General features: G+C 40.9%; 1 protein-coding gene across 7 annotated transcripts in view; it reads left to right on the top strand.

Moving 5' to 3' along the window:
* BAZ1A (bromodomain adjacent to zinc finger domain 1A) overlaps positions 1-18,660 on the top strand; it is a 122,630-nt gene that overhangs the window by 7,846 nt on the left and 96,124 nt on the right. For 6 of the 7 annotated variants that reach the window (XR_007063978.1, NM_182648.2, NM_013448.3 and 3 more), the window contains one exon: positions 5,193-5,471. The exons of the other annotated variant lie outside the window; for it this stretch is intronic. Coding sequence is in view for 5 of the 6 variants with exons in the window: in NM_182648.2 (NP_872589.1) it covers positions 5,193-5,471 (279 nt within the window). In the remaining variant the exon portion in view is untranslated. The remainder of the gene's footprint in view (positions 1-5,192; positions 5,472-18,660) is intronic. 7 annotated transcript variants of the gene reach the window in all.

Below are 18,660 nucleotides of genomic sequence, written 5' to 3'. Positions count from 1 at the left end.
AGGCAGTGTTAAGTCTAAATCGTGTTTGTTGCACTTCACTGCGTTTAGCTGTCCCCCTGCCATGGCATGAAATATCCCATGCGTGACCTACTCAATACCTCAGGCACTTAGCTGCTGTGGCTAGAGCTGTGCTGTCCAGAACAGGAGCCATTACTTGGCCAGATGGGTTATTAAGTACTTGAAATGTGATTAGTCCGAATTAAGATAGACATAAATGTAAAATATACATTGGATTTTTTTTTTCTTTTTTTTGTTTGAGACAGAGTCTCGCTCTGTTGCCCTGGCTGGAGTGCAGTGGCACAATCTCAGCTCACTGCAACCTCCACCTTCCGGGTTCAGGTGATTTTCCTGCCTCAGCCTCCCCAATAGCTGGGACTACAGGCGCGTGCCACCACGCCTGGCTAATTATTTGTATTTTTAGTAGAGATGGGGTTTCACTGTGTTAGCCAGCATGTGCTCGATCTCCTGACCTCGCGATCTGCCTGCCTCGGCCTCCCAAAGTGCTGGGATTATAGGCGTGAGCCACCATGCCCGGCGGATTTTTTTTTTTTTTAAAGAAGAATGTAAGTAAAGTATCTTAATTTTTAAAATGTTTATTACGTATTGAAATGAAATTATTTTGTGATATATTGGGTTATTTTTATTTTAAAATTTTTAAATGTGACCACTAGAAAATTTAAAATTATACATGTGACTAACCATTCTATTTCTACTAGCACTGGCTTACAGACTAAAGTATAAGATGTTTAGATTTGAAGTATAATTTTCTCAAGCAATACTAAGTATTGTTTAAGTTATTAGAAGTATACTTCATGTGATGGATATCCCAGTTACCCCGATTTGATCATTACACATTGTATACAGGTATTAATATGTATAACTGTTATATATCAATTTTAAAAAAGAGGAAAAAAGTATACCAATGTACACTATGTGCTAACTATGTACTGGTTTGAGAAGCTAAATATTATAGATATGTTTGTTTCTATAGGAAAAAGTTAGAACTTTTTTCTTTTTTTTTTTTTTTGAGATATTGTTTTACTCTGTCACCCAGGCTAGAGTGCAATGGTGCGATCTTGGCTCACTGCAACCTCGGCCTCACGGGCTGAAGTGCTCCTCCTGCCTCAGCCTCCTGAGTAGCTAGGACTACAGGCATGTGCCACCACGTGGACCTGGCTAATTTTTCCGTTTTTAGTAGAGACTGGGTTTTGCCGTGTCACCCAGGCTGGTCTTGAGCTCTTGGGCTTAAGCATTTCTCCTGCCTCAATCTTCCAAAGTGGTGGGATTATAGATGTGAGCCACCGTGCCTGAACTAGAACTTTTTTAAGAAACAGGGTTGTGCTCTGTCACTCAGGCTGGAGTGCAGTGGTGTAATTATAGCTCACTGCAGCCTTGAACTCCTGGGTTCAGGTGCTCTTCCCACCTCAGCCTCCTGAGTAGCAAGGACTATAGATGTGCGCCCCCTGGCTAATTTTTTTCTTCAATTTTTGGTGGAGACAGGGTCTCGCTTTGTTGCGCAGTCTGGTCTCGAACTCCTGGCTTCAAGTGATCCTCCTGCCTCAGCCTGCCGAAGTGCTGGGATTACAGGCATGAGCCATCGTGTCTGGCTAAGACCTACCTGTTAACATTACTTCCCCCCAAAAAAGTTCTAATAGTATTTTTAAAAATCTTTTTTTACCTTCTGAATTCTTCCCTTCCCTTTCTCTGAATTCTTAGGATATCTGCCTTCTAGCTTATAAGGATAACTGCTTTTTACTTTGTATTTTTGATGATATACACCGATTATTTCCTGAACTAAACTTTAGTTCAAAAGGATCTTCTTTGTACTGAATTAAGAGCCATATAACTTGGCATATGCATGCTATTTCTGTAGATCTCATTTAAGTTAAGGTATGATTAGTTTCTCTTGCTTTATTTCCGTAGATACCTTTTTAAAAAGTTGTTCTATAGAGATGTACAAAGGAAACAATCTAAATGGAATTGCCCCCAATTTTTGGAGATCAAACTAATAGAGATAACCTACACAGATAGATGTGCTAACCAGGAAATAGACATATAACAGTTTAAGTACTTTTAGAATGACGGGAGAAGTAAAGATTTCAGGAAGGAGAAAAAATTGAAGAATAATGAATTATATGGTTACATATAGAAAAGTAGAACAAAGTGTAAAGCAGGAAAAAATTTTACCTGTATCTTACCACTTAGAGGCAGCCATTGTTAACCCTTTTGCATATGTATAACCATATGCATATATATAAAAAAATTTTTTTTCAGACAGTCTCACTCTTACACAGGCTGGAGTGCAGTGGCATGATTGTGGCTCACCGTAGCCTTGAACTCCTGGACTGAAGCGATTCTCCTGCCTCGGCCTCCGGAGTAGCTCGAATTACAGGCTCATGCTACCACAGTGGGCTTTTTACACTTAAAAAAAATTATATTGGCTGGGCGTGGTGGCTCACGCCTGTAATTTTAGCACTTTGGGAGGCTGAGGTGGGCAGATCACCAGGTCAGGAGATCAAGACCATCCTGGCTAACATGGTGAAACCCCATCTCTACTGAAAATGCAAAAAATTAGCCAGGCATGGTGGCATGTGCCTTTAGTCCCAGCTACTTGGGAGACTGAGGCAGGTGAATCCCTTGAACCTGGGAGGCGGAGGTTGCAGTGAGCCAAGATCATGCCACTACACTCCAGCCTGGGTGACAGAGCGAGAACTCTGTCTTTAAAAAAAAAAAAAAAATTTATTGCGCTGTGTGCGGTGGCTCACGCCTATAATCCCAGCACTTTGGGAGGCTGAGGTGGGTGGATCACGAGGTCAGGAGTTCGAGACCAACATGGTGAAACCCCGTCTCTACTAAAAATACAAAAATTAGCTGGGTGTGGTGGCGCGCGTCTGTAATCCCAGCTACTCAGGAGGCTGAGGCAGGAGAATCACTTGAACCTGGGAGGCGGAGGTTGCAGTGAGCTGAGATCGCACCACTGCACTCCAGTCTGGGTGACAGAGTGGGACTCCATTTAAAAAAAATTATTGCAAAATGATATATGAGTAATGCTCATTAAAAAAATTTAAACAGGACTGAATGCGGTGGCTCATGCCTCTAATCCCAGCACTATGGGAGGCTGAGGTGGTGAATTGTTTGAGGCCAGGAGTTCAAGACCAGCTTGGCCAACATGATGAAACTCCATCTCTACTAAAAATACAAAAATTAGCCAGGTATAGTGGTATGTACCTGTAGTCCCAGCTGCTTGGGAGGCTGAGGCACAAGAATTGCTGGAACCAGGGAGGCAGAATTTGCAGTGAGCTAAGATCGTACCACTGCACTCCAGCCTGGGCAACAGCATGAGATTCTGTCTCTGGAAAGTAAATACATAAAAAAAAATAAAAATTCAAACAGGCTGGGTCTGGTGGCTCATTCCTATAATCTTAACACTTTGGGAGGCTGAAGTGGGAAGATAGCTTGAGCCCAGGAAGTTGAGACCATCCTGGGCAACATAGTGAGACCCCATCTCTACACTCTCAAAAAAATTAGGTGAGTGTCCTGGTGTGCACCTGTAGTCCCAAATACTCAGGAGGCTGAGGCAAGACAGAATGCTTGATCCTAGGTGATTGTACCACTGCCCTTCAGTCTGGACAACAGAGTGAGACTCTCTTAAAAAAGAAAAAAAATTCAAACAATATAGAATTATTTAGAATCACAAAAAAAGTTTTCCTTTTCCTTCCTTCCCAGTCTCCCCTCCTTTCTCCATAGGGAATATCTTTACAGTATATATATAAGTACATACATTTTTGTGATTATTATAATTAATGTACATGGGATTGTGTATTCATTGATTCATGTTTTTCCTACCCATTATGTCTTAGAAATCTTTCTGTGATATAGATCTCTTGCATTTTAAAGGAGAGTGGATAGGGCTGGGAATGGTGGCTCACGCCTGTAATCCCAGCACTTTGGGAGGCCGAGGCAGGTGGATCACAAGGTCAAGAGTTCGAGACCAGCCTGGCCAACATGAGGAAACCCCATCTCTATTAAGAATATAAAAATTAGATGAGCATGGCCGGGCGCGGTGGCTCACACCTGTAATCCCAGCACTTTGGGAGGTTGAGGCAGGCAGATCGCCTGAGGTCAGGAGTTTGAGACCAGACTGACCAACATGGAGAAACCCCGTCTCTACTAAAAATACAAAATTAGCCGGGCGTGGTGGCACATGCCTGTAATCCCAGCTACTAAGGAGGCTGAGGCAGGAGAATCCTTGAACCTGGGAGGCAGAGGTTGTGGTGAGCCGAGATCGCGCCATTGCACTCCAGTCTGGGCGACAAGAGTGAAACTCCATCTCAAAAAAAAAAAAAAAAAAAAAAAAAAAAAGCCGAGCGTGGTGGCGGGCACCTGTAATCCCAGCTGCTCGGGAAGCTGAGGCAGGAGAATCGCTTAAACCTGGGAGGTGGAGGTTGCAGTGAGCCGAGATCCGGCCACTGTATTCCAGCCTGGGTGACAGAGTGAGACTCCGTCTCAAAAAAAAAAAAAAAAAAGAGAGAGTGGATAGAGTTTTTGAAAATAGGTAAATGCGCGTATTAAGGAATTCCAGCAGAATAGAAGAGCACTGAATAGAATGGTTCCCCAGTCTTATCACTACTGCCTGTTACCTCGAGTTTTGTATGACATTCCAGAAACCTATGCTTCTATAGGTACCTTTTATTTTCTTTCCTTTTTCTCTTTTCCTCTTTTTTTTTTTTATAACACAAATGAGATCATCATATAGTTTCAAGAAAATACAGGAGAGATCAAACTGAAAATAGGTATTTTTCTATTAACATTAATGGAAATGTTAATTAAGAACTTTATACTTTTTAATGACTGATTTTTCATTATATAAAGTACTACTTTATTTAGCTTTTTTCTTGTTAGCTGCTTAAAGTTTTCAGTTTTTCACTGAAAAGCAGATGGAACTCAAAGTCTGGTTTTGACTGATGTACCTTTAAATTGCAAAATATAAATATTTAGTTTAAATATACTTTTTCTTATGTTTGTATTAATGTTATAAGTTGACCAGTTACCAAACCCTTGAGTTCTGTGAGTCTACATAAAATTTTGCATTAAAGGCACAAAAATAACCTGATAATGCTATCAGTTTTTAATGTAAAATTTGTGAAATGATAGGTAATGGGCTTTTGTTTTTGTTTTTGTTTTTTAATCAGTGACTTTTTTGAACGAACCATTCTGTGCAACAGCCTTGTGTGGAGTTGTGCTGTGACGGGTAGACCTGGACTGACGTATCAGGAAGCACTTGAGTCAGAAAAAAAAGCAAGACAGAATCTTCAGAGTTTTCCAGAACCACTAATTATTCCAGTTTTATACTTGACCAGCCTTACCCATCGTTCGCGCTTACATGAAATTTGTGATGATATCTTTGCATATGTCAAGGATCGATATTTTGTCGAAGAAACTGTGGAAGTCATTAGGAACAATGGTGCAAGGTAAAGTACTTTTAATTTTTCCTCTTGGTAAGTTTATATTCACATTGCTCAAAATCCAAAACACACAAAGTGGTGACCTAAGGAAATCTTCCCTTTTACTATGCTCTAGCTATTCTGTTAACCCACAGATAGCCCCGGTGTTAGCTGTTTCTTGTATATCTTTCCAAAGCTAATTTATATATATGCCACCAAAAACATATACGTGCATGCGTCTGTATGTGTATATATAACATGTGTCTTATGTAACAAACGTGCACAAATTCCTTCCCTTTTTAATGCAAAAGAACATACATACTCTAGATCCCTTTTCACTTAAAAGATCTTGAAGGTTAGTCCTTTGTTACATAAGCCACCTTCCTTCTCTTTAATTTACTGTATAATAAAGTTCTATTATATGGAAGTTCCATCTTTAGGAGTAGAAATCTTTAGCTAATGGTATCTACTGTGTCCTCATTATGTCACCTAATAGTTTAAATATGCCAGTATTTATTTATTGGTTTTAGTGTTTTATTTAACAAAACCAGGATTGAGTTTTATATACTCCACTAAGTTCTCCTTCTTTCATACTTTCTCACATTGCTTTATTGAGCTGTAACTCACATACAATACACTTCTCCTTTCTGTAGTATACAAATGCAGGGTTAGTGCTCTTCCCTTTCACCGAGCTCTTCAGAAATAAAGTGGATTTTTATATGAACATTGAAAATGACACAATCTATGGCAATAAATGAAAAATTATCAATGTTTTCCTCAAGTCTGAAGCTTTGTGATTGGCTAGTCACTGACATTTATAATAATAAACTTTATATGCATTAAAACCTCTTGTAGCCTCTTGACTTTAGGTATTAACTGTTTTTTGGATGCCCTGCCCCCATTATTGACCTGAATACAAATTTTTTTTTTCTCGATTTTAAACTTTAGAAGCCAAAAGTTATTTATGTTGTTACTATTATCTTATTTGAAGAATCATTATAAGTTTGTATGTAATGTTAGAATTAATGTCTTAACAAATTAATATAATCCATTTTAATTGTTAGGTGCTACTCTACTTGAATCTTAAAAAGCCAAGCAACCAAATGTGTTTATATTAAGATATAATTTATTTGGGTTTGATTTTTGGCAAGTAATTAAGTTCTTTTTTTTTTGAGACGGAGTTCCGCTCTTGTTGCCCAGGCTGGAGTGCAATGGCAAGATCTCGGTTCACTGTAACCTCCACCTCCCAGGTTCAAGTGATTCTTATGCCTCAGCCTCCTGAGTAGCTGGGATTACAGGCACCCACCACCACACCCAGCTAATTTTTGTATTTTTAGTAGAGACGGGACTTCATCAGGCTGGTCTTGAACTCCTGTCCTCAGGTGATCCACCCACCTTGGCCTCTCAAAGTGCTGGGATTACAGGTGTAAGCCACTGCGCTTGGCCTAAGGCTTAATTTCTTAATACATTGGCTATTCTTTTTATTGTGTGAGACAAAGTCTGGCTCTGGGTTTGTTTTTGTTTTTTTTTTTTGCTTTTTTTTTTTTTTTTTAACTTTTGGTATAGATGAGGTCTGGCTCTGTTGCCCAGGCTAGAGTGCAGTGGCTCCATCTCAGCTCACTACAACCTCTACCTCCCAGGCTTAAGCCATCCTCCCACCTCAGCCTCCTGAGTAGCTGGGACTACAGGTGCATTCCACCATGTCCAACTCATTTTTGTATTTTTTGTAGAGACGGGGTTTCACCATGTTGCCCCAGCAGCTCTCAAACTCATGAACTCAAGTAATCCACCTGCCTTGGCCTCCCAAAGTGCTGGGATTACAGGCTGAGCTACCAAGCCCAGCCTATATTGGCCATTCATAATTGGTGATTGTGCCTGAAGTTTTCCTCCCTTAAGTACAACATTCTGAATGTACTCTGTTAAAAAAACAAAACAAAACAAAAAAACTATGGAACTCTTGTCCTAATGCATTTAAATAATTAAGCATAGAATTGGGTTAATCTGAAATGTGCTTGTAAGAACAAGAGAACAGTACTTTATTAGTTATTTTTATCTAAAAACTAAGAATGGTTACAGTTATTAGATCCACTCCTTAGGTCCTTTGTTCCCATGATCACTTAGATTATAAGTACCATAGGGTTGGGGCGTTTGGGGAGGGTGGAGGTTGTGGAACTTGAGACTAGAGACTCCCCAACTCCTCAACTCCTCCAAAGACTGGAGACAGCACGAATTAGAATTCATATGTATATTTTACTAATATATCCTTAAGGTTGGCATCTTTTACAAAGCTATTTTGTTTGTCTTCTCTGTAACTTGCTGTGAGCACCATTGACAAGGGAGTAGTAAGTAAGGTAAGAATAGTAAAAACAAAATACTAAGAGGTGGCATATGAAAAAGATTAATTGGGGATGATGAATTATAGGAAAATCATGATTTAAAGGAGGCTCAGTTAAGAGTTAAGTAGAAAAGGGGTCTCAAGATGCCAGTGGATAATCTAGTAAGTTTTTAAGCTAAGTAATTAAATTTTTTCAACCAATAGCAGAAAATCATCAGGAAAAGTATTTAGAAATAACTGAAAACCTCTTTCCCTTTTAAAATTAAGTTACGCTGTTGTTTTTCTGTGGATTTTTTTTTTTTTTTTTGACAGGGTCTGGCCCTGTTGCCCAGACTGTGCAGTGGTACAATCAGAACTCACTGCAGCCTCAATCTCTCAGCCTCAAGCAGTCATCCCGCCTCAGCCTCCTGAGTAGCTGGGACTATAGGCATGTGCCACCACACCTGGCTGATTTATTTATTTTTTTAACTTTTAGTATAGATGAGGTCTGGCTATGTTGCTCCTGAGCTCAAACAATAATCCCACCTCGGCTTCCCAAAGTGCTAGGGTTATAGATGTGAGCCACTGCACCTGGCCTTTTCTGTGGATCTTATAAATCAACCACACTGTCCTATGAAGTGTGAAATAACAACATAATTTACCTTTTAAAGGGATGTACCTGTACCAGTCTTGCTGCTATACAGTAGTCATATATTTGAGTTCCTTTTTTATACCAGACACTGATTTAGGTGTTATGGATTAATGGCTCCCCGACTCACAAAGCCAGACATACTTGCTGCTTCTCAAATATGCCAGGCATGATCCCTGCCTCAGGGCCTTTGCATTACTCTTCTCTTTGTCTGGAATTTATTTCCCCAGATATCAACGTGGTGAGTTCTTTTACTTCTTCATGTCTTCCTCCATATCACTTTCATTGAAGCCTTCTGTCCTATCTGAAATTTAGCATTTTCTTGCCCCAACTTTTAATTATTTTATTATTTTAAAATTTATTTATTTTTTGCCTCCCCACCCTCGCCCCAACTTTTAATTATTTTATTTTATTTTAAAATTTATTTATTTTTTGCCTCCCCACCCTCGCCCCAACTTTTAAAACATTCTTGATAAAAATTTTTTAAATTGTGGGCCAGGTGTGGTGGCTCAAGCCTGTAATCTCAGCACTTTGGGAGGCTAAGGCAGGTGGATCACCTGAGGTCAGGAGTTCGAGACCAGCCTGGTCAACATGGCAAAACCCCATCTCTACAAAAAATACAAAAATTAGCTGGATGTTTTTTCTTCTCTGTAACTTGCTGTGAGCACTATTGACAAGGGAGTAGTCAATAGTCAATTACAGGCATGTGCCTATAATTCCAGTTACTCAGGAGGCTGAGGCAGAATTGCTTGAACCCAGGAGGTGGAAGTTGCAGTGAACCGAGATCACGCCACTGCACTCCAGTCTGGGCAACAAAGCACGAGTCTGTCTCAAAAAAAAATTTTTTTTTAATTGTGGAAAAATACACAACATAAAATTAGTCATCTTAACCATTTTCGAGGATACAGTTCAGTCATCGCCTCAACATTTTATATTTCTCTTCCATGCTTTGTTTTTTGTTCACCTTGGCACTATTAACATATTTTCTTTATTTATTTTGTTGTTGGTGGTTTCCTCCACCAGAATGTAAGCTCCATGAGCTCAGGAATTTTTGTTCGCTGTATTGCTAGCACTTAAAATGGCACATAGTATGTGAGCAGAGCAGGTATTTGTTGAAGTATAAATAATGCAAAACAAATTTCAAATAGAAGTGCTTTGAAGGCAGTGGTATGGTAGAGAGTGAGGGGAGGAAGTGGTTGGCACTTGAGCTAGGGTGGTCAGAGAATGTTGCTGTGGAGGAAGTGACATTAACTCTGAGAACAGAATGAAGGAGAAGGAACCAAACATGTCAAGAACTCTCTAGACAGAGGGAGAGGCCTGAAGTGGAAATAATTTAAAATATTGCTCTGGCTGCTGTTTGGTGAAATGATTGAAACGAGGTCAAGCATGGAAATCCTGGAACCAGTTTGGAGGCTACTACAACAGGCTTTCTAGTGCAGATAAGAACTTTGAATCAGATGGCAGCAGTACAAATGGAGAGAATTGGATGGATTCAGGATATTTTGGGTGGAGAACTAACACGATTTATTCATGGATTGGATGGATGCTGGTTTGGGCAGGGGAATGTGTGGGAAAGGAGAAATCATGGATGATGAAATCATGGATGATCTCAATTTTTTGCCTTTAGTAGATGGTAAGATGGAGAAGCTTAGCTCATGTCTATTGTCCCTTAGCTCATGCCTATACTTGGGCAGGAGGATCAGTTGAGCCCAGGAATGCAAGTGAGCCGACTACATGATCATGCCAACTACACTCCAGCTAGGGTGACACAGCAAGACCCTACCTCTAAAATGAAGAAGAGACTGGGTGCGTTGTGGCTCAAGCCTGTAATCCCAGCACTTTGGGAGGCCAAGGCGGGCAGATCATGAGGTCAGGAGATCGAGACCATCCTGGCTAACACGGTGAAACCCCATCTCTACTAAAAATACAAAAAGTTAGCCAGGCGTAGTGGCGGGCACCTGTAGTCCCAGCTACTCAGGAGGCTGAGGCAGGAGAATGATGTGAACCTGGGAGGCGGAGCTTGCAGTGAGCCGAGATTGCGCCACTGCACTCCAGCCTGGGTGACACAGCGAGACTCTGTCTCAAAAAAAAAAAAAAGAAAAAAGATGCAGAAGCCTCAGGAAGTAATGTATCAGTTTAGCCATCTTTGCACTCAAATCAGGCCTTGTTATTTTCTGATTGCTCTGATTTTGTGTTTCATGGACATCTTTGTGTTACTCATAAGTGACTTTTTTTTTTTTTTTTTTTTGAGACCGAGTTTCGTTCTCACTGCCCCAGGCTAGAGTGCAGTGACGCAATCTTGGCTCACAGCAACCTCTGCCTCCCGAGTTCAGGCGATTCTCCTGCCTCACCCTCCCGAGTAGCTGGGATTACAGGCGCCCGCCACCACACCCAGCTAATTTTTGCATTTTTAGTAGAGATGGGGTTTCACTATGTTGACCAGGCTGGTCTTGAACTCCTGACCTCAGGTGATCCACCCATCTCAGCCTTTCAAAGTGCTGCGACTAAAGGTATGAGCCACCGCACCCGGCCTCATAATTGCTTCTTACAGGCTAGATACTGGGCTGGGTATATTGGGGTTTTGGAAAGAATTAAGATGCTCTAAGCAGCCTAGGCAACACGGTGAGACCCTGTCTCTACAAAAATTAAAAAATGAAAAAGCCAGGCATGATGGCATGTGCCTGTAGTCCTAGCTACTCAGGAGGCTGAAACAGGAGGATCACGAGCCCAGGAATTCTAGGCTGCAGTGAGCTATATTGCGCCACTGTGCTGCAGCCTAGGTGACAGTAAGATCTGGTCTCAAAAAAAAAAAAAAAAAGATGCTCTTGAGTTCAGTTAAGAGAGAGACAAACATGCAGACTTGCTAAATATTAAAGTTGTGAATAAGGTAACTCAAGAGCATCCAAGTTCAGTGTGGCATTGAGGCTAGGCCTAGGTTCCCCACACTTAACTAACACTGAATAAGTCTTTTAACCTTTGCCAGATTGGATGATATCTCAGTGTTTAGCTTGCTTGTTCCAATCCTTTGCTTATTTTTCTTTTGGCTTGTTATTAGTATGTTTGTGGGAGATTTATATTAAATACTAGGCATATTAAGCTCTTTGTTATACTGCTACAAGTATGTTTCTGTTCCATTTTTTGTTCTTTTTCTTAAGTGTGCAATAAGGGTAAAAAGCCCTTTACTTACTTATTTATTTATTTTTTGAGATAGTTTCTCACTCTTGTCACTAAGGCTGGAGTGCAGTGGCGTGATCACGGCTCACTGCAGCCTTGACCTCCTGGGCTTGGGTGATCCTCCCACCTTAGCCTCCTCCTGAGTAGCTGGGACCACAGATGTGTGCCACCACACCCAGCTACCTTTTAATTTTTCTGTATTTTGTAGAGACAGGGTTTCGCCATGTTGCCCAGGCTGGTCTTGAACTCCTGGGCTCAAGCAGTCTGCTAGCCTTGGTTTTCCAAAATGTTGAGATTAAGATGTGAGCCACCATGCCTGGCCCAAGACATTTTAAATATATGTAACAAATAATTAAGAAATAAAGAATAAAAATACAATAAACATCCCTGCATTCTCCACTTGTGTTAAAAACTTAAGACAAATTAAATTTAACAGAGCTTAACTGACGAAAGAACAATTAGCAAATCAGGCAGCCCCCTGAACCAGAAATAGGTTCAGAGTGACTCTGGTGCTGCTGTATGGTTGAAGAGGATTTATGAACAGAAAAAGAAAAGAGACATACAGAAAATGGAAGTGAGGTACAGAAATAGCCAGATTGGTTGCAGCTTGTCGTTTGCCTTATTTGAACACGGTTTGAACAGTTTGCTGCCTGTGAGTGGTTGAAGTATGGCTGCTGTGATTGGCTGAGACTTAGCTACTTGTTACAAGAGTAGGTTATAGTCTGTGTATACACCCAGTTAGATTATAGTTAACCATGTACAGAGAAACCTTTAGGCTGAACTTAAAATATATAAGGAAGCAGCATTAGGCTAAACTTAACACTTGGTATTATTATATTATTATTATTATTATTTGAGACGTAGTTACACTCTGTCGCCCAGGCTGGAGTGCAGTGGCGCGATCTCAGCTCACTGCAACCTCCGCCTACTGGGTTCGAGCGATACTTGTGCCCCAGCCTCCTGAGTAGCTGAGATTACAGGCCCGCACCACCAAGCCCAGCTAATTTTGTATCATTAGTAGAGATGGGGTTTTGCCATCTTGGCAGGGCTAGTCTCGAACTCCTGACCTCAGGTGATCCGCCAACCTCAGCCTCCCAAAGTGCTGGGATTACAGGCATGAGCCACTGTGCCGAGCCAACACTTGGTTTTAATAGGATACCTTTATCTCTGCTTTTTGTTTATAGTTTGAGAAAAGTTTTATGGGAGGGAGGTAGTGATAGCGAAGGGCAGGATTTGGAGTTAGACTTTGTTGGACAAATGACATCCTTTTGGGTTATTGCGAGATTAAAATGAAAATGTATATGTATGTATGTGTGTATTGTATACATTTTGAATTGCTATAGAATATGGTAGCATTTTACTGGGGGAGTAATACTGCCGTTGACTTGAGGCTTATGTGGTAGTTAATTTTTTTTTCTATTGACTTTAATTTTCTATTGAAAGTTAAATTTTATGTTATGATTAAACTTCAAAGATGACTTGTAATTTTAACATTTTATTTTATTTTATTTCGAGATGGAGTCTCACTCTGTCGCCCAGGCTGGAGTGCAGTAGCGTGACCTCGGCTCACTGCAGATTCTGTGTCCCGGGTTCAAGCGAATTTCATGCCTTAGCCTCCTGAGTAGCTGGGATTACAGGCATCCACCACCATGACCGGCTAATTTTTGTATTTTTAGACAGGGAGTTGCCATGTTGGCCAGGCTGGTCTCGAACTCCTGACCTCAAGTGATCCACCCGTCTTGGCCTCCCAAAATGCTGGAATTACAGATGTGAGCCACCGCACACAGCCCACAATTTTAACTTTAGATCCTGAGTTCCGCATCATATATCCTTCTCTCTCTATCCCTTTCACTTAAATTTCAGTTAAAATAACTTTAAGATATAAACTTGCCTAAATTGACTAGATTTCCTTTGGTTTGAATTGTGCCTTCAGCACATACTTACTACCTGTATAACTTTTTGGCAAGTTATTTAACATCACTTATCTCCTAGATTTCCAGTAAAGGGACTGCAGAATTACAGAGAAATCAGATAGAGACCATTCTTGTGTTGAATTAGTTGGTATAGGTACTCAGATCTGCTCGCTTCAATATTCTTTTCTTATTGTCTCATTTACTTTTAACTATCTCCCCTTGTCTTTTATCTTTGAGATGGGGTCTTGCTCTGTCGCCCTGGCTGGAGTGCAGTGGCACCATCTCAGCTAACTGCAACCTGTGTCTCCTGGGTTCAAGCAATTCTCCTGCCATAGCCTCCCGAGTAGCTGAGATTACAGGCGTGTGCCACCACGCCTGGCTAATTTTTTTGTATTTTTAGTAAAGACAGAGTTTCACCACATTGGCCAGGTTGGTCTCAAACTCCTGACCTTAAATAATTCACCCGCCTCGGCCTCCCAAAGTGCTGGGATTACAGGCGTGAATCACTGCGCCTGACCTTCCCTTGTCTTTTTTGCATCTTTACAAGTATAGCTTAGGTGCTTCCTCCTCTCCACCAAGACTTTATGCTTTCAAAGAAGCAATCAGGTAACAGATTATTTTAAAAGATCCTTTGTTATTGTTGTGACAGAGTAGTAAAGAGAATAGCTGACTACTTGGCAAAGATAGGGGAAAGAAAGCATGATTTAGTTATTATTTAGTTGTTCAACTCTCCTCCACACCCTGATTACCACCTAGCTTGCCTGCCAAATGCACTGACATTTGTTCTCTGCTACTTCCTTAGAGCCTACAGGAGAAGTCTTGTGACAGGAACACTAAATTGGAAGTTGAGTCTGTTCTTAAATACTTACCAGATGTTTTGTGTCTATATTATATCAGTAGATGGGAGGCAAGAACTTAATATTTCCATTTACAGATGAGGAAACAGATCAAAAGAAGTGATTTTTTTTTTTGTAATTGTTCAACATGTATTTATTGATCATCTGTACGCTTGCACTGTTCTAGATGCTGGAAATAGAGCAGTGAACAAAAAACCAAGTCATGGAGCTTTCCTTCCAGTCTTAACACAGGTAGTAGACAGGATTTAGATTCAAGGAGGACTGATTTACAAAATCATTTCTTTCACTGTGCTCTTGGTTTTGGGTTCTGCCATTTATGATTAGCTGTATGGCTTTGAACAAGTAGTTTAAACTCTGTGAGCTTTAGTCTTTTTTCACGTATTAAATGAACCCCCCGCCTTATAGGGTTGCTTCTCAGGATGAAATGATGTAATAAATCTGATTTTTTTAAAAAGCTATATTATAGAATGTTGCCATTCATGTAGATGTCTTATTAATATTTCAGTGTCTTCATTGGGGAACATGCACTTTATTTTATTTTTTTTGAGACAGAGTCTCAGTCTGTCACCCAGGCTGGAGTGCAGTGGTGCAATCTTGGCTCCCTGCGACTTCCGACTCCCAGGCTCAAGCCATTCTCATGCCCCAGCCTCCCAAGTAGCTGGGAATACGGGCGTGCGTGCCACCATGCCCAGCTAATTTTTGTATTTTCAGTAGAGACAGTTTCATTATGTTGCCCAGGCTGGTCTTGAACTCCTGGCCCCATGTGATCTGTCCGCCTTAGCCTTCCAAAGTGCTGGGATTACAGGCATGAGCCATTGTGCCCCGCTGATTTTATTTCACTTTTTGAGACATGCCAGTGGTGATGTAAGGGCTGCAATAGCTATCTTTGCCATTACAACTTGGAATCAAATTCCCCTATTGTAACTGGAAGGAAACTCCAAAAGTTAACAATTTCTATATAGTGGACAGACATAGTTTTTTGTTTGTTTTTTAAGATGATCATCCCACATTTTTATGTGGTCTTTTTTTTTTTCTTTGAGACGGAGTCTAGCTCTGTCGCCCAGGCTGGAGTGCAGTGGCACGATCTCAGCTCACTGCAAGCTCCATCTCCCGGGTTCACACCATTCTCCTGCCCCAGCCTCCCGAGTAACTGGGACTACAGGCACCCGCCACCACGCCCGGCTAATTTTTTGTATTTTTAGTAGAGACAGGGTTTCACCATGTTAGCCAGGATGATCTCGATCTCCTGACCTCGTGATCCGCCCGCCTCAGCCTCCCAAAGTGCTGGGATTACAGGCATGAGCCACCACGCCCGGCCTATGTGGTCTTCTAAGAACGCCATGCAAACAGATTTTAAGGCATCTAAGTATTATTTCCTTTTTTTTTTACTTCACTATGTTGCCCAGATGGCCTCTTGGGCTCAAGGGATCCTCCCTCCCACCTTAGCCTCCTGAGTAGCTTGGACTACAGGCATGGGCCACTGTGCCTTGTTCTCATTGTCTTTTTTTTTTGAGCAAACACAATCATTGTTTAACGAAACGCTGGAAGAATGGTGAACTGGAACTCAAATACTTGGATGATTCACCCATCTTCTGTCCCCTCCCCTGGAACTGGAGAATTAAATCAGGAAAAAAGATGTGGAAATCATACAACAAAGGAACATTTTGGACTCATTGTGTAGTCATCATTCAGTCCAAAGATAGAATTAGAGTTTGAGAGAATCTGAAAAATTGAGTCAAACTATAATCATAAATTTGGTAATTTTTAAAATTAAAGTGGGCTTTGGGCAACCCATTTTCAGACTTTTTTTTTTTTTTTTTTTTTTTTTTTTGAGCTAGGGTCCCACTCTGTTGCCCAGGGTAGAGTGCAGTGGTGTAATCACAGCTCACCACAACCTCCATATCCTGGGTTTAAGCGATTATTGTGCCTCAGCCTCCTAAGTAGCTGGGACTACAGGCGCCTGCAACCATGCCTGGCTAATTTTTATGTTTTTAGCAGAGATGGGATTTCGCTACGTTGGCCAAGATGGTCTTGAACTCCTGGCCTCAAGTGATCTACCAGCATCGGTCTCTCAGGGTGCTGGGATTTACAGGCATGAGCCACTGTACCTAGCCATTTTCGGACCTTTTTACAAGCATCTCTTTTTAAATAAGAATTGGCATGTTGATGTAGTCTTTGAAGTAGATATCAAAATGGTTAATTTGTGGATAGGTAGCTGTTTTTCTGCATAATTTCCACCTTTAACCTCTTCTACTTCACCAGTTCTACCTATCGTTCTTTGGGTCTGGAAGGAATCTATGTATCTGTCAAAACGTAGATATCTTCCGGGTCTGTGAAAGTCTACATTTTGCAACCACAGTAATGGCTATGGAATACATACTAATTCCGTCTGGGAGAAAGTTGAGTGTGTGCAAGAGAAAAGATACTTGCTACAGAGAAGTGGCAGAGATTCTAAAATTTTGACTACTTGGAGAGTCAGCACTACCCTTAAGGAACCTCTGTAATATTGTAGTACATAATCTTCTATTTAGCTAGCGTACAGACTACTTAATAGTTCAAATTCTTTGGAATACAACTTTAGACATAAAAGTAAGCTGAAAATCTAAAACTGGATAGGAAAGTAACTGCCACAGTGTTCATCCATGTGCTTTACCTCTGACTAGACTATAAAAACTATTCAAGAGCCTATTGACCTAAGTCCTATATTAAAATTAAAACATTAGTGTTAAACTGTCCCAAGTTGTTTTGGGATCCTCTTTGAACTTTTTGTTTGTTCATTTGTTTTTGAGACAGGGTCTTGCCCTGTTGCCCAGGCTGGAGTGCAGTGGTGGGATCTCAGGTCGCTGCAATTTCCATTTCCCGGGCTCAGGCAATTCTCCCACCTCAGCCTCCGAAGTAGCTGGGACTACAGGCCCATTCCACCACACCTGGATAATTTTTGTATCTTTTGTGGAGATGGGGTATCGCCATGTCGCCCAGGCTGGTCTCAAACTCCTGGGCTCAAGCAGTGCCAGCCTCGGCCTCCCAAAGTGCTGGGATTACAGGCGTGAGCCACTATGCCCGGCCTGACCTTTTTTTTTTGGTCACAGGGATAGCTTATGTCTATTTGTGCGTACAGATATTTGAGTGACTGTCATAGTAGGGCTCTGATGGGGGATACAAAAATGAATACAAGTATTTTTCTGTGTAGACACTCAAAGTTTGAAGGAGCTAATAAAGGTTTATGAATAACTGAAAGAGAATAAGTTGCTATAAAAGAGGCACAGTTAAGATGTTCTGGGAGCTGAAAGAGTTTGTGGCAGATTTGAAGCAATATGTGGTAGAAGGTACTTCTAAAGGTGGGTATACTGACAGCAGCAAAAGTGGGACCTAATAGCAAAGGAGAAGCTGGAATAAGCAGCAGTTAAAAAACTCTACTGGCGGGTTGGTATAAAACTTGGTTGCATTAGAACACATTGCAGAACTGGAAGTACACTAACATTTATTGAGCTTTTCCTGTATGCTAGGCAGTGGGCTAGATGCTTTCATTTCAGTCCTCATAATCATAATGAGTGACCCAGAACTTTCAAATGTGATTTGCTCCACTCATCAGAAGTAAAGTTTATAAATTTTTTAAAATCTGTTTTTTTTTCTATTAAAGTAAAAGATTCATGTATCAGAGAAAAATGCAAAAGATGAAAGCCTGGAGTTCATTTTCCAAATATTCCATTGAGAGATAACCACTATCAGAAATTTAGTGCATATTTCTCAACCGTTTTTTCTATACTATACTAACATAAAAAATTAGCAAGCAGCTTTTTCACTTAGTAATGGTTTGGATGTCTTCTCGTATCAGAACACACAGATGTGTGCCTTTTTGTCTTCTTTTTCCCCTCTTTTGAGAGACAGTCTCACTCTGTCACCTAGTCTGGAATGCAGCGATCATAGCTCACTGCAGCTTTGAACTTCTAGGCTCAAGCAATCCTTCTGCTTCAGCCTCCCGAGTAGCTGGGACTATAGGCATGTGCCACCACACCTGGCTAATTTTAAAAATTGTTTATAGATAGTCTCCCTATGTTTCTCAGGCTAGTCTTCAACCGGCCTTGTGCGATCTGCCTCAGCCTCCTGAAAGTGCTGGGATTATAAGTGTGAGCCACCACACCTAGCCACGTGTGCTGTTTCTGATCGGTTTTACATGAACTGGTTAAACTGTTCCTAAAAAGCTTACTTGTAATATTGCCTTTTTCTGAGGACGGATAAAGCTTCTTTTGCTAGCCTGGTGTGAGTTCTCTCTTTGAAGATAATAAGCTGCCTTTTCTTTCAGCTTTGA

This window comes from Homo sapiens, chromosome 14 (genome assembly GCF_000001405.40).
Source record: "Homo sapiens chromosome 14, GRCh38.p14 Primary Assembly".
In the NCBI taxonomy this organism is placed as follows: Eukaryota; Metazoa; Chordata; class Mammalia; order Primates; family Hominidae; genus Homo; species Homo sapiens.
This window is presented reverse-complemented; position numbering and strand designations above follow the sequence as displayed.